Raw genomic sequence first — 13087 nt, 5'->3', positions numbered from 1 at the left:
AATTGTGAAATGCCTAGGCCCCATGAAAGAACTAAGAGGTTTATTTATAGCATCTTGCTTAATTTTCACACCAACCCTATGGGGCAGATTCTAATTACTATCTCCATTTGACAGAAGAGAAACCGGAGGCTCCCACATGTTATGCAACTTGCCAAGGCCATCCAGGCAGTGAGTGGGAGGACATGGCTCATCCATTCACTCAACAGATAGTTTTTGGGCTAATGCAATAGTAAATGAACCCACAAACTAGCTCCTCCACACATTCCAGAGTGGAGGAGACACTCAACCTCCAAATGCCTGCTAGAGAGATGCGCTAGGAATGAGATAAAGCAAGAGAGAGGGGAGGCTGGGAAGAGACAGGGAGGGCATCTCTGAAGACGTGACATCTCAGCCAAGACCCAAAGGACAAGCCAGAGGGGCTGCACAGAGAGCAAAGATCGGGCCAAGGCTTTGAGGCAGAGGCAACAGCAAACTCAAAAGCCCTAAAGAAGAAACACGTTTAGCTCAAAATTGGTTCTGATGCCCTAAAAGCTTTCCATATTCTAAAGCTCTCCCTTGGGACTCAGACAATACCTGGGATCATATCAAGACATACCTCATGCGTTTGTTGGGAGGAATTAATGAGACAAAGCTTGTCAAGCACTTAGCAGTGAGCCTGACACCAGTGAAATGTTACCTGTTATTGCAAAATCATCATTAACCCCAGGTACACTGCAATTAGCATCAGCAATGCACGAGAGAATGTATACCCATCACTAGCCTTGAAATATTTCTTAAACGGGAGTCAACTTTTTGTGTCTTGTTTACGTGTCACTTCACTTTGGGAGAGGTCACTGGTAAATCAGCTGCCAAGAAAAGAAAGTTGAACAAATTCTCTACTGAATAATGGGGTTGTTTAGAATACACTGAGCCTTAATCCCAGGAAAAAAATAACAAAGCCAAACCCTTCCCAGGAACTGTTCATAGAAGAGAGCCTGTCAGCAGGAAATTAACAAAGTGCACAGCAGATAATCAATAGTAACCAGCCCAGGAAATAAAGAAGAAAGCAATTGCCCTGTAGACCTACATCTCATTTGTTTAGTATTTCTGCGAGGTCAGGGGCCGATGTCAATCCATCATGGTTCTTAAATTCAGAAGTAAATATATTCATGAGCAGCAAGGGGCAAGCTGTTTGTCATGCAAGAGGCCTGCACGTGCAAAGGCCGGGGAAGGTATGAGAGTGCCCCAGGAAGCTTCTGGCCGTACCCTCCAATGCCAAGAGCTGGGAGCCTGCAGGCTCCAGAAAAGCCCCAGAGGGAAGCCGGGGGGCCCACACTGCCTCCTAGTGGCAGGATGTGTAGGAGTCATAAATTCTGTGGTCTCTAGTTTGCCAAACTAATCTGGGAATTGGATCTGGTGGGTTGTTTGTCCAAAGATGACTGCAAGGATGTTTCCCATTCTCCATGGCACATGGTCTTTCGCCATGTGGCCTATGGAGAGGTGGAGGGATTTCCTGACCTTGGATTTGGGTGGGCCCTGTCTCGCGGAACACAGAGAAAGTGACACTGGGTAAATTTGAGGCTGAGCCTTAAAAGGTCTGCAGCTTCACCTGTGTCATGGAAACACTCACTCTTCAGATTCACGAAAAAGGAGCCCAAGCTAGTCACATGACCAGAGCCAGGTGCAGAGAGAAAGAGAGAGGCCTCAGGCTCCCAGTGTTCCCACCCAGGTGCCAGACCCACAAGTGAAGCTGCCTTGGACATCTCAGCCCAGCTGCTGTCCAAATGCAGTCTCATGAAAGTTCCTGCCGGCTGCATGTGAGCAGAAAAACCCAGCCCAGCTTTACCAGAATTCTTGACTTACAGAATTCTGAGCAAATAAAAATGGTTGTTTTTTTAAGCTGCTAAATTTTGGGGTTGTTACCAAGCAGAGTCCACGGGTGGTATAAAAATACTGGGGGTTGTTACGTGGCAAAAGAGAACTGAAACACTGGATAACCAGTACCTGTGATGTGTGTGCACCTTGGGTTTTTCTGAGGATCTTGTGGAGATGAGGAATTGTGAGCAAAAGGGGAGGTGGCATTAGTACTGAGAAATAAAAATAAAATCCTAAGCTTCCCAATGGACTGAACGGATCTCCACTTGGCCAAGGGAACCCAGAGAAATGTAACAAGCTGAGTTCCCTGCCCTGACGGGACGGGAGGCATTGCCTCATGATGTCCCCTTCCTCTCTAACTGCCATTGGATGTGGGTTTTTTTTTTTTTTTTTTTTCTTAAGGGTTAAACAGAAAGCAGGCTTTTTGGAAGAGTGGCCAGGCTCCCCTTCCTTTTGCGGTTTTGACACAACAACCAGCCAGCATTCTTTCCTGGTAAGAGACCACCAACTATAAATGTTTCTGGCTGGTTTATGGAGGCTGCAGGCAGGATGCCTTTGTGTCCTCTGTGTCACTTTTGATGGAGACAGCCTAATTTTAATGCATTTAAATGTTAAGACTCAGAGACTCCATCTTGAATAGAGATTGGGTAAAATAAGGCTGAGACCTACTGGGCTGCATTCCCAGGAGGTTAAGGCACTCTTTTTCACAGGATGAGACAGGAGGTTGGCACAGGATACAGGCCATAAAGACCTTGCTGATAAAACAGTTTGTAGTAAAGAAGCTGGCCAAAACCCACCAAAACCAAGATGGTGGCGAGAGTGACCTTTGATCGTCCTCATGGCTCATTATATGCTAATTATAATGAATTAGCATGCTAAAAGACACTCCCACCAGCACCGTGACAGTTTACAAATGCCACGGCAATGCAGGAAGTTACCCTATATGGTCTAAAAAGGGGAGGAACCCTCAGTTCTGAGAATTGCTCACCCCATTCCTGGAAAACTCACAAGTAATCTATCCCTTATTTAGCATATAATCAAAAAGTAACAATATGTATCCTCGGTCAAGCAGCTCAAGCCATTTATTCAGACCCGAGTGACAATGAGGAGGCAGAGTGACGAGGAAGTCTGGATGAAGAGAGTTCCAAGAAGGAAGAGCAATTGCAAAGTACTTGAACATGCTTGGCTAGTTCAGGGGACAGAAAGAAGGTCCTAAGGAGGAGAGATGGAAGCAGATGCTGGGTGAAGTTGGAGAGGTGAGGAGGGCCGGGCCCTGTGGGGGTCGCATGGGGCATAGAATTGGGATTGGCATTGATCCTGGCAGCATGAGGAGGCCCTCGGAGGGAGAAGTTGTACTTCATGGTGCTTATACGCAAGGGCACTGGGGTCAGCTAGACCTCTTATTAGTACTCTCATTAGCTACGTATCATGAGGCGTCTCTCAGAGCTTCAATTTCTTCATCAGATTAAAGGAATAAAGAAATGCCTACTTCAGGGCTGGGCGTGGTGGCTCATGCCTGTAATCCCAGCACTTTGGGAGGCTGAGGCAGGCAGATCACGAGGTCAGGAGCTCGAGACCATCCTGGCTAACACGGTGAAACCCCGTCTCTACTAAAAATACAAAAAAAAAAAAAAATTAGCTGGGTGTGGTGGCGGGCGCCTGTAGTCCCAGCTACTCAGGAAGCTGGCGTGAACCCGGGAGGCAGCACTTGCAGTGAGCCGAGATTGCGCTGCTGCACTCCAGCCTGGGTGACAGAGCGAGACTCCGTCTCAAAACAAAACAAAACACAAAACAAAACAAAACAAAGAAGAAATACCGACTTCAAAGACGTCTCTTTTTTTTTTTTTTTTTTTTTTGAGACAGGGTATTGCTCAGTTGCTCAGGCTAGAGGGCAGTGGCCCTCATAGCTCACTGCAGCCTCATTGTCCCGGACTCAAATGATCCTCCTGCCTCAGCCACTGAAGCAGCTAGGACTGCAGGTATGCGCCACTATGCTTGGCTAATTAAAAACAAAACAAAGCAGATTGTGGAGATAAGGTCTTTCTGTGTTGCCCAAATTGGTCTCCAACTCCCGAGCTCAAGCAATTCTCCCACCTAGGCCTCTCAAAGTGCTGGGATTACAGGTGTGTCACTGCGCCCGGCCCAAAAAGTTACCATGTAGATTAAATGAGATATCCGTGATGTCCTTAGCAGAGTGCCTGACACATGGTAGAGACACAATAAATGGCTGCGGTTAGACATCTCGGACAGCACCTTAAAGTTCAACAGTATAAGAAGAAGAGGTATTTGAAGGAGACCTTGTGTCCAGCCTGGATGAAGAGCGCTTAGTTGGGTGCAGTGGATGCAGTGAGGGCAGATCCCAAGGACAGGGGTCTGGGTCATGTGCCTTTGGTGGGCATAGCACTCTGTGCCACCTACAGGGAAGCATGAGGTATGCCCACCTGCGTTACTATTCCTTGGCCCCACTTCCTAAATCCCACAACGGAGTCCAGGTGCAGTGGCTCACGCCTGTAATCCCAGCACTTTGGGAGGCCGAAGCGGGCAGATCACCTGAGGTCAGGAGTTCAAGACTAGCCTGGCCAACACGGTGAAACCCTGTCTCTACTAAAAATACAAAAATTAGCCAGGCGTGGTAGCCTGTAATCCCAGCTACTTGGGAGGCTGAGGCAGGAGAATCGCTTGAATCTAGGAGGCAGAAGTTGCAGTGAGCTGAGATCGCGCCATTGCACTCCAGCCTGGGCGTCAGAGCAAGACTCTGTCTCAGAAAAATAAAATAAAATAAAAAATAAACCCCACAGTGGAAGTCCAGGAGAGGGTCGCAGTGATCACGCAGGACCACACTCACTATGGTGGTTCCATGTGGAAGAGACCTGGGTGTCGACCGCTGTAGGAAAGGGCCTGTGACGCCTTCAAGTGTAAAGACTGGACCCGGTGGCCCGGACCCTCCCTTTAGGAGGACGTGCTCTGTGGTCTCAGGACACTTGAGCTTTTGCAGCCTCTCTGGCTGACATGTATCTTATGAACACAATGAATTCCCACCTGCCCCTTTCTCCTGCTTCAAGATAGATGCTATGAGCCTAAGGCTAAATCGGTAGCTTCTCAAGAGGAAATGTGATGAGCAGCATGGCGCACGTTGAGGAAGTGTGGCGAGCAGCATGGCGCATGTTTTACGTCCTCATATTCCCCTCGGAGCCACCTTCCTCTCAGCTTCTGTCTGCCCACTGAGCTTGTGTCAGGAGCCCAGGTTCTCATGATCTACCTTCTCCTGTGTCCACATCACAAGGCGTGGACGCCAAGGCTGACCTGGATCATCTCTGAGGGCCCCATGCTCACCAGCTGGGTAGTCATGGACATGTTAATTAACCTCCTCAGTGTCTTCATCAAACCTGACGAAGGAACAGCATTTATTTCCTCCAGGGGAAGCATGACGCTGGAACAACAGAATGCTCATAAAACCCTTAGCACAGTGACTGCCTAGAATGAGCTGCTATTAAAGCCACTTCTGTGCTACTGTGTTGGAAACAAAGACACACATTACTAAAGACTCTGATGTCGGAGGCCACAGAACATGGAGGAGAAAACCAACCCTTTGGCCCTCACTCTCTGCATCTGTAAAATGGGATCATACCTGGTTGCCAATGTCCCAGGCTGCTGAGGGTCAAACGAGGTGATTTATGCACCAAGCACTGTCTATTGTAAACACCCGTGAGCCTCTTAGGTGCAGAGTGTGGGTGGGCCCTGGTATGGTGGGATACAGCTGCTCTCTCCAGGATCTGCCTTTCCCAGGCCTGGGAGCTCCATGAGGGCAGGACCGTGTCTGCTTTTGATCAATCAAGTGCTGGATATTCCATGGGCTCTCAATCGATACCGTAAGGTGAACGAAGGAGAAGGGACAATGGCAGGGGATGTCAGGGAACTTTCCACAGGTAGATGATGTACCACGGACTTGGAGGCAGCAGGTCCTGACTTACAGGATCAGAGATAAGATAAAAAAATCTGCTCAAGGGCTGGGCATGGTGACTTACACCTGCAGTCCCAGCACTTTGGGAGGCCACGGTGGGAGGATCACTTGAGGTCAGGAGTTCAAGACCAGCCTGGGCAGCATAGTGAGAACTGATCTCTTCTAAAAAATTTTAAAATGTTAACAAAAAATTAGCCAGGTGTGGTGATGCATGCCTGTAGTCCCAACTACTTGGGAGGCTGAGATGGGAGGATGGCCTGAGCCCAGGAGGTCAAGGTTACAGTGAGCTATGATTGCACCACTGCACTCCAGCCTGGGTGACACAGCGAGATCTTGTCTCAAAAAAAAAAAAAAAAAAAATCTGTTCAAGAACCAAGAAAAGGTAGGCATTGTGAGGGTGAGTGTGGGTGTGAGAAGGGGAAAGGGAGGAGATAAGCGGAGAACCATTTGTTTGCTGAGTTTCTGTATGTTCAGGGCACTGGGAAAGGGGCTTTCGAATCCCCCTAATGAGCCTGTGGGGTTGGCATTATGATCCCATTTTACAGAGAAAAGAAGTGAGGCCCACAGAGGCGACCCTGCCAAGTCCACAAATCCGGGACCACAGAGCTGGAGTTCTACTTTCTATCAGACTCTAAGACCAGTTTCACCCCCAGACTGCCTCTTGGGGACACAGGGGTGAGAGAGAAGAGAAAGAGAAGTCGAGGCTTAGGGAAGAGGTAAGAGCTATCGGTGCTGGAAAAGAAAGCATGTGGGGTCTTTTGCTAGCGTTGGGTCTCCTGGATCCTTGGATGACTTAATGCAGAGTTGAAAATGGCGGCAGCTCAGGTGAACAGCCCACAAGGGCGCCTTGGTTGGCAGCAGCCATGGGCTGGAGGGCTTTGGCGGTGAGAACCACTTTTTTCTAATTAGTGTTGACAGGTCTTCCCTGCCTGTTTCCTTCAAGCTTCCCTCAGTGCCATCAGTCCTGGAAAGATGGTGTTTTCTTTGGAGGGGAGGGGAGGAGAGCAGGCCTGGCCTGGGCTGGGACCTGCCGCAGCTCCCAGGAAGGCTGAGTTCATTAGAGATGGCAGCCCCGGAAGCCCAGGCCACAGAGGCCTCATTAGCAGCACTGCCAGGCTAAGTGACGCCAATGGGTAACCGGCTGCATAGAGGCACTGGCTATGGTGGTTGCAGTGTTTTAGAAGAGGAAGAAGGAGAACCGGGTGGCGGGTGCCTGACCTCATTTCCAACTCCCTATGGCTCTGGAAAGTCAACATCATCTTTTCCACCATCTCAGATGAGGAAGCTGAGATTCGGGGAAGCCAGGCCCTTTTGCCTCCCAGTGACCACTCTGGAAGGGCCTTCCTCCCTCGGGGGTGTTTACGTTTCACACCTTAGTGCAGAGTTGATTTGAGGCAGAGTTGAAAATGCTACAAGAAGGGAGACCCCGTGGAGTGGAGGGCGTTGTTGAAAGCCATTTGAAGCAATGGCATCGTGGGCAGGTGAGGTGGGAGGTGGATTGGGTGGGGGGTGGTCTTCTCATACGCCAGGCCACCACTGTGTGCCACAGTCCCACTGTAGCTCACCCCATGACTAGCGGGATCTCAGTATCAGATCTCTTCCGGAAGTGTTGGGGCCGTCTTTGTCCTGAAGATAATTGTGAAAGGCTCCAAAAGGAGCAGGCACCTCTAATCTTGCCAAGCTTCTTCCACATGCAGGAGAGGGCAACCTTTTCTCTCCACCAGATGCTACCTTTGTGGGGGACTAGGGTCACCCACCTGACCCTCAAATGCCCATTTCCTGAGACCCCCATGAAGAGGCCGCCTGTGGACATTCATACCATTCTCTTGGCTGGTGGGGAACCATGGAAGAGAGATGACTCAACTGCGCAGAAGCTGCCTGGGCCCCTCACACCCCAGGCACGGGAAACCCAAGCACACAGAAGGCCAATGTGGTGTGCCCCAGTGGAAAATTCTGGGGGAAAATTCTCAGCTTTCTCTTTCTTGGTAGAGAAAGGTCTGTGTTGAGGAATGTGACCTTCAGAGCTAGGCCTTGGTGCTCTTAAGATCAATCCATGGTTAGAAATAGCGGACCCTCGGGGAAGGGGTCTCCAGCCCACTCTAGATATTCGTGGAAATGCAGCAAAGGCTTTTCAGGGCTTCAAATATTGTCTGAATCGGGAGCCACCTGTGTCTCTGTGAGAAGATCAGGTGACCTGGCAGGTCAAGGGTGCTGTGATCCTCTGTCATTGCTCAGTCAACAAACATTCATCACAAGCTCACTTCTTCACTTAGATCCAAGAGGGGTCTCTTTTTTTTTTTTTTCTCAATCTATTAAACGTATTAGGTGATTGGGGCAGGGGTGGTGGTGCAGGATCTCACTCTGTCACCCAGGCTAGAATGTCATGGTGCAGTCATAGCTCACTGCAGCCTCAAACTCTTGGGCTCAAGGGATTCTCCCACCTCAGCCTCCTGAGGAGCTGGGACCACAGGTGCATGCCACCACTCCTGGCTAATTGTTAAATTTTTTATAGAGACAGGGGTCTTACTATGTTGCCCAGGCTGGTCTCAAACTCCTGGGCTCAAGCGATCCTCCTGCCTCGGCCTCCCAAAGTGCCAGGATTACAGGCGTGAGCCACCGCACCCAGGCCCATCCTAGACTCTTGTTCCCCAACCAGAAGGGACACCCTCATTGAGAAAAATGCCAAATGCAAGATGAGAAGGGAAACATTCAAAGACTCAGAGAAAGCCTGAGATAGACCCATTAGGACCCGATCAAGGTCTTCCATCCTCCACCAGATTAAATTTTTTTGTCATCTTAGAAAGAGCACCAATTTCTTCTTTCTCTACCTCCTTAAGTCTCCTGCAGCCCAGAGATGCTGCCTGCTGTCTTGGAATCTTTGTCTTCAAAATCAGAACAATTTCATATCCTTGATCTCATCTCTCCTTGGAACATTCTTTACAGGAGTTTGGGGCAGTATTTCTACCCCTTTATTAGGCATTTATTTTTATTATTTATTTATTTTTGAGACAGTCTCCCTCTGTCACCCAGGCTGGAGTGCAATGGCACGGTCTTGGCTCACTGCAACCTCCGCCTCCCGGGTTCAAGCAATTCTCCTGCCTCAGCCACACGAGTAGCTAGGATTAGAGGCACCTGCCACCAGGCCTGGCTAATTTTTGTATTTTTAGTAGAGACGGGGTTTCACCATGTTGGTCAGGCTGGTCTCAAACTCATGACCTCAGGTGATTTGCCCGCCTTGGCCTCCCAAAGTGCTGGGATTACAGGTGTAAGCCACCTCGCCCAGGCCTATCCTAGACTCTTGTTCCCCAACCAAAAGGGACACCCTCATTGAGAAAAATGCCAAGTGCAAGATGAGAAGGGAAATATTCAAAGACTCAGAGAAAGTCTGATTTAGACTCATTAGGACCCGATCAAGGTTTTCCATCCTCCACCACATTAAATATTTTTGTCATCTTAGAAATATTAGCCATTCCTTCTTTCTCTACCTCCTTGAGTATCCTGCAACCCAGAGATGCTGCCTACTGTCTTGGCATCTTTGTTTTCAAAACCAGAACAATTTTATATCCTTGATCTCATCTCTCCTTGGAACATGCTTTTACAGGAGTTCGGGGCAGTACTTCTACCCCTTTATTAGGCATTTAAAAAAATTCTTTCTTCCTCGGGGCCCTCCTTCTCTGTGATAGCATATTGTTCATATGGCAATGATCACAGCGAATCATTCTGGGTGGGATTCCTGCTCACCCCGCACCCTCCTCCCACACTGGGGATGGCGGGAAGGGTAAGATCACATGGATGGGTGTCCCGAATTTGGGCAGATCCAGTCATCGTGAGCTCAACTGAACATGGGAACACCTGTGGGATGAGGAGCTGGGACATGTGGTCTCGATGTCTCCCTGTTCCCCTTACCCTCCTTTCTCAGTAAATTGACATTTTCCAGCCTCAAAGTTAATTCCTGCTTCTGTTTGGGGGAGGGGAAGAGAACTGTTTCCATTTAGTAATCTCTGAACAATTGAAAATGCATGTTTCTCTCTTAACATCAGAGGCCTGTTTCTTTTTAAGGCCTAACGTGTTTGAAAATTCAATTTCCTAACTTTGACCACTTTTTGTATGATGGCTATTAAGAATGACAAATGGGACTTTGGAGATATTTTGCTAGTTTCTTTGTTAAACTCCAGGCTAAATTTGTTTCTCCAGCCCCCAATCCCATTCCCACTCTTCCTCCCAGGGCTGCCGTGGTGTATGGCCCTGGGGAAGATATTCACACATAGTCTAACTGATGGCTCAAAGAATTGTACAGCCACAGAACCACCCGTGTTCCTTATCTTAGCAAATAGTATCACCTCCTTACAGTTTCTCGAAACAGCCATCCCCCTTGCCCTCATCCCTCATAGTCAATCAACAACCCAGTTACACTGATTCTACCTGTTGAGTATTTCATATATCCCTGGCATTATCCGTTCTCTATCACAGCATCCTGGTCCAAGCTACCATCCTCCTTCTTGCCTGGCTACATACATTAGCTTCAAAATGAGATTCCCCATTGACTGTTGACCATCCTATCAGTTCTCCACACTGTAGCTAGAGAGATCTTTTAGGATGCAAATCATCAGGCACCATGCCTGTTTAAAACCTTCTATGGCTTTCTCTTTTCCTTAGGCTGAAGTCCAAACTTTCACCATGGCCAACTGCAGAGTGATCCGGACCCCAACCATGTCTCTAGCTTGACCCATCCACTCTTTCCCATGATTTCTTGGCTCCAGCCACCCTGGACTATTCTCTGAGGTCCTGGTTCACTCTACCTCAGGACCTTTGCACATCCTGCTCCCACTGTTCACTTGGCTTTATCCCTGCTCAACCTCCAGGGTTCAGTTTACCCATCACCTGCTCAGAGGGGCCATCCCTGATCTCTGAGCTGAGTTACACTCCTACACTTAGGATCCTATAGCCCGGTCCCAAACCCAGAATACTCAGTTACTTCGTCAACATCTACCTATCCCGTCATATTGTAAGCAACCAACAGGTCTGTAATTTATCACTGGAATCTCATTGGCAGCACACAGAGGATGGTCAATCCATGTTTGCTGACTAAATGAACGAATGAAGGACCAGTGTTAATTTCCCGCAATCACTTAGACACTAATCAAGAGCCCTCTGTTGGTAAGACCTGGAAGGGCAGGCCGGGCACGGTGGCTCACGCCTGTAATCCCAGGACTTTGGGAGGCTGAGGCAGGTGGATCACCTGAGGTCATAAGTTTGAAACTAGTCTGGCCAACATGGTGAAACCCTGTCTCTACTAAAAATACAAAATTAGCCGGGCGTGGTGGTGGGCGCCTGTAATCCCAGATACTCAGGAGAATGAGGCACGAGAATCGCTTGAACCCGGGAGGCAGAGGTTGCAGTGAGCCAAGATAGCGCCGTCGCACTCCAGCCTGGGCAACGAGAGCACGACTCCGTCTCAAGAAAAGAAAAAAGACCTGCAAGGGTGAAAAATCTGACCAAGGTATAGTTCCCTACACTCAGGGGACTTTCCAAAAGCCAATAACGTGGTTCTGCAATTCAGATGGGGGTGACATTGATGATCCTAACCCAAGCAAAAGTCCATGGAAACTAGCACGCCAAGCTTATCAGAGTGAAGGACTGATGACAGGGTCAGACTCAAAGGTGCTCTGCTTCCTGCTGCTGGCCTTGATGGGCTTGGCTCCAACCACTGTGAATGGACAGCAAAGGGAGCTCTAAAGGGTTGAGCCTTCAAATGGGCTCTTTGCCTGGTAATTAATTCACTCATTAACTCAGAAGCTTTTACGGAAAGTCAACTAGCTGTGAAGAATTCTGCAATGCTCTAGGGAAGAGGTAGCTGCACACTGGTCAAATTCAACCCAATGTGATGGTACTTTTTAAAATTTTGAATGAATTTCTGATGATTGAAAAATTGGGACATTTCACATGGCGCGAATCTCCGGCTTCCCTTGAAAAGCAAACCATTTGGCCACACAGGACTGTGACTGACTGGAACTGGTGGAAACTGATTACTTTGGATGAGGCAAGTTCTCTCCTTTGAGTCATTACTCATAATCAGCCTCACTGGCCTACACTACCTGCCAGGTTTCCATGGGCATTGGAGTTGGTATTCTGTGAGCTCTAGGATTATTGACAGTTCAGTAAGAAACTGCTGTTATTCTTGAGGATCTAATAGCAAATGCTCAAACTGTGCCCTCACTCCAGGGGGTCACAAGAAAAATAGGGAGGGCTGGGAGACCTTGGAGAGTGGAAGTGGAGACCACTTGAAATCTTACGTCTGTTTGAATCTCATTTGTCTTGCATTTTACTGCAGGGATTCAGTCTTAGGCAACACATCCTAAGGCAGCATTGATTTAACCACGAGTTCTTGATACTTAAACTCTCCAAGCCTCCGTTTCCACACGCATCAAATGAAGCTGATTCTACCTTCCCCGACAACATCACAGAGTTGTTACAAAACTATATTGATCTTGGCACATGAGATGCCTGGCTCACAAGAAGTGCTCCACAAATACTAGTCTTATTAGTATTTTCACAAATTCATTTATAACAAATAACTATAGTCTCAAAATAGTCATATAAATAGAGTCCTCTTTCCCAGATCTTTTTTTCTATCTTTATTGTTTTATTGTGATTATAGTAGGAATCCATGCTTCTTACAAAAATGCTCAGATGAAGAAATTCATACCGTAGTGAGAGTTGATCTTGGACTTTCTAATTGTTGCTTTCTGGTCATTAAGAAATATGTAAATCTCGACGGCGACATACGCGTGCATTAAGACCAAATCAAAGCTAAAGCTCGTAGGTGCTCCTTCTGTGCCTGAACCTGGCCCTTAGTTTGAATAAAAGGCTTGGAAAGGAAGATTGAACTTTGCAGGCACCTCGGTAATATTCTCTGGAATGAAAATGACACTTATTTTCCCCTCTGCAGTCCTGTATTCCACATTCTGGCAGCTCAAGGTCCTCTTTTCAGGTGGTCACCCTCAGACATCAACTGTTAAGGCCTTTTCAATGTCAGCCAAGTGGTGCCTGCTCCTGTCATCCAGTCTCCACTGAGCCCTCCCATGGCTGCAGGCCGCAGGGACCAAACTAAGAAAGGTCTGTGGATAGGACACTCATCCACAGCAGATTCATCTATAGAGGTCTTTCCTATGGTGTCTGGCTGCTCGAAGAAACTCTTCCAAGCTGGCTTCCCAGGAGGAACAGGCTTCCAAGTCCAGCTCTTTGACCTAGGGATGGTATTTTGGCTTTGCA

General features: G+C 48.2%; 1 protein-coding gene across 11 annotated transcripts in view, besides 1 other annotated feature; it reads right to left on the bottom strand.

Annotated features, from left to right (window-relative positions):
• Positions 1–13087, bottom strand: part of KAZN (kazrin, periplakin interacting protein) — a 1225220-nt gene that overhangs the window by 337400 nt on the left and 874733 nt on the right. The gene's annotated exons all lie outside the window — the stretch shown is intronic.
• Positions 1077–1607: an enhancer, noted in NCBI's record as "H3K27ac-H3K4me1 hESC enhancer chr1:15105533-15106063 (GRCh37/hg19 assembly coordinates)". NCBI's record gives its function as "activates a minimal SCP1, AML or CMV promoter by ChIP-STARR-seq in primed H9 embryonic stem cells {active_cell/tissue: H9 hESC(primed)}" and the evidence as "EXISTENCE:reporter gene assay evidence [ECO:0000049][PMID:30033119]".

The sequence above is a fragment of the Homo sapiens genome, chromosome 1 (assembly GCF_000001405.40).
Source record: "Homo sapiens chromosome 1, GRCh38.p14 Primary Assembly".
Classification (NCBI taxonomy): Eukaryota; Metazoa; Chordata; class Mammalia; order Primates; family Hominidae; genus Homo; species Homo sapiens.
Note: the sequence above shows the minus strand (reverse complement) of the source record. Positions and strands in the feature narration are given on the sequence as shown.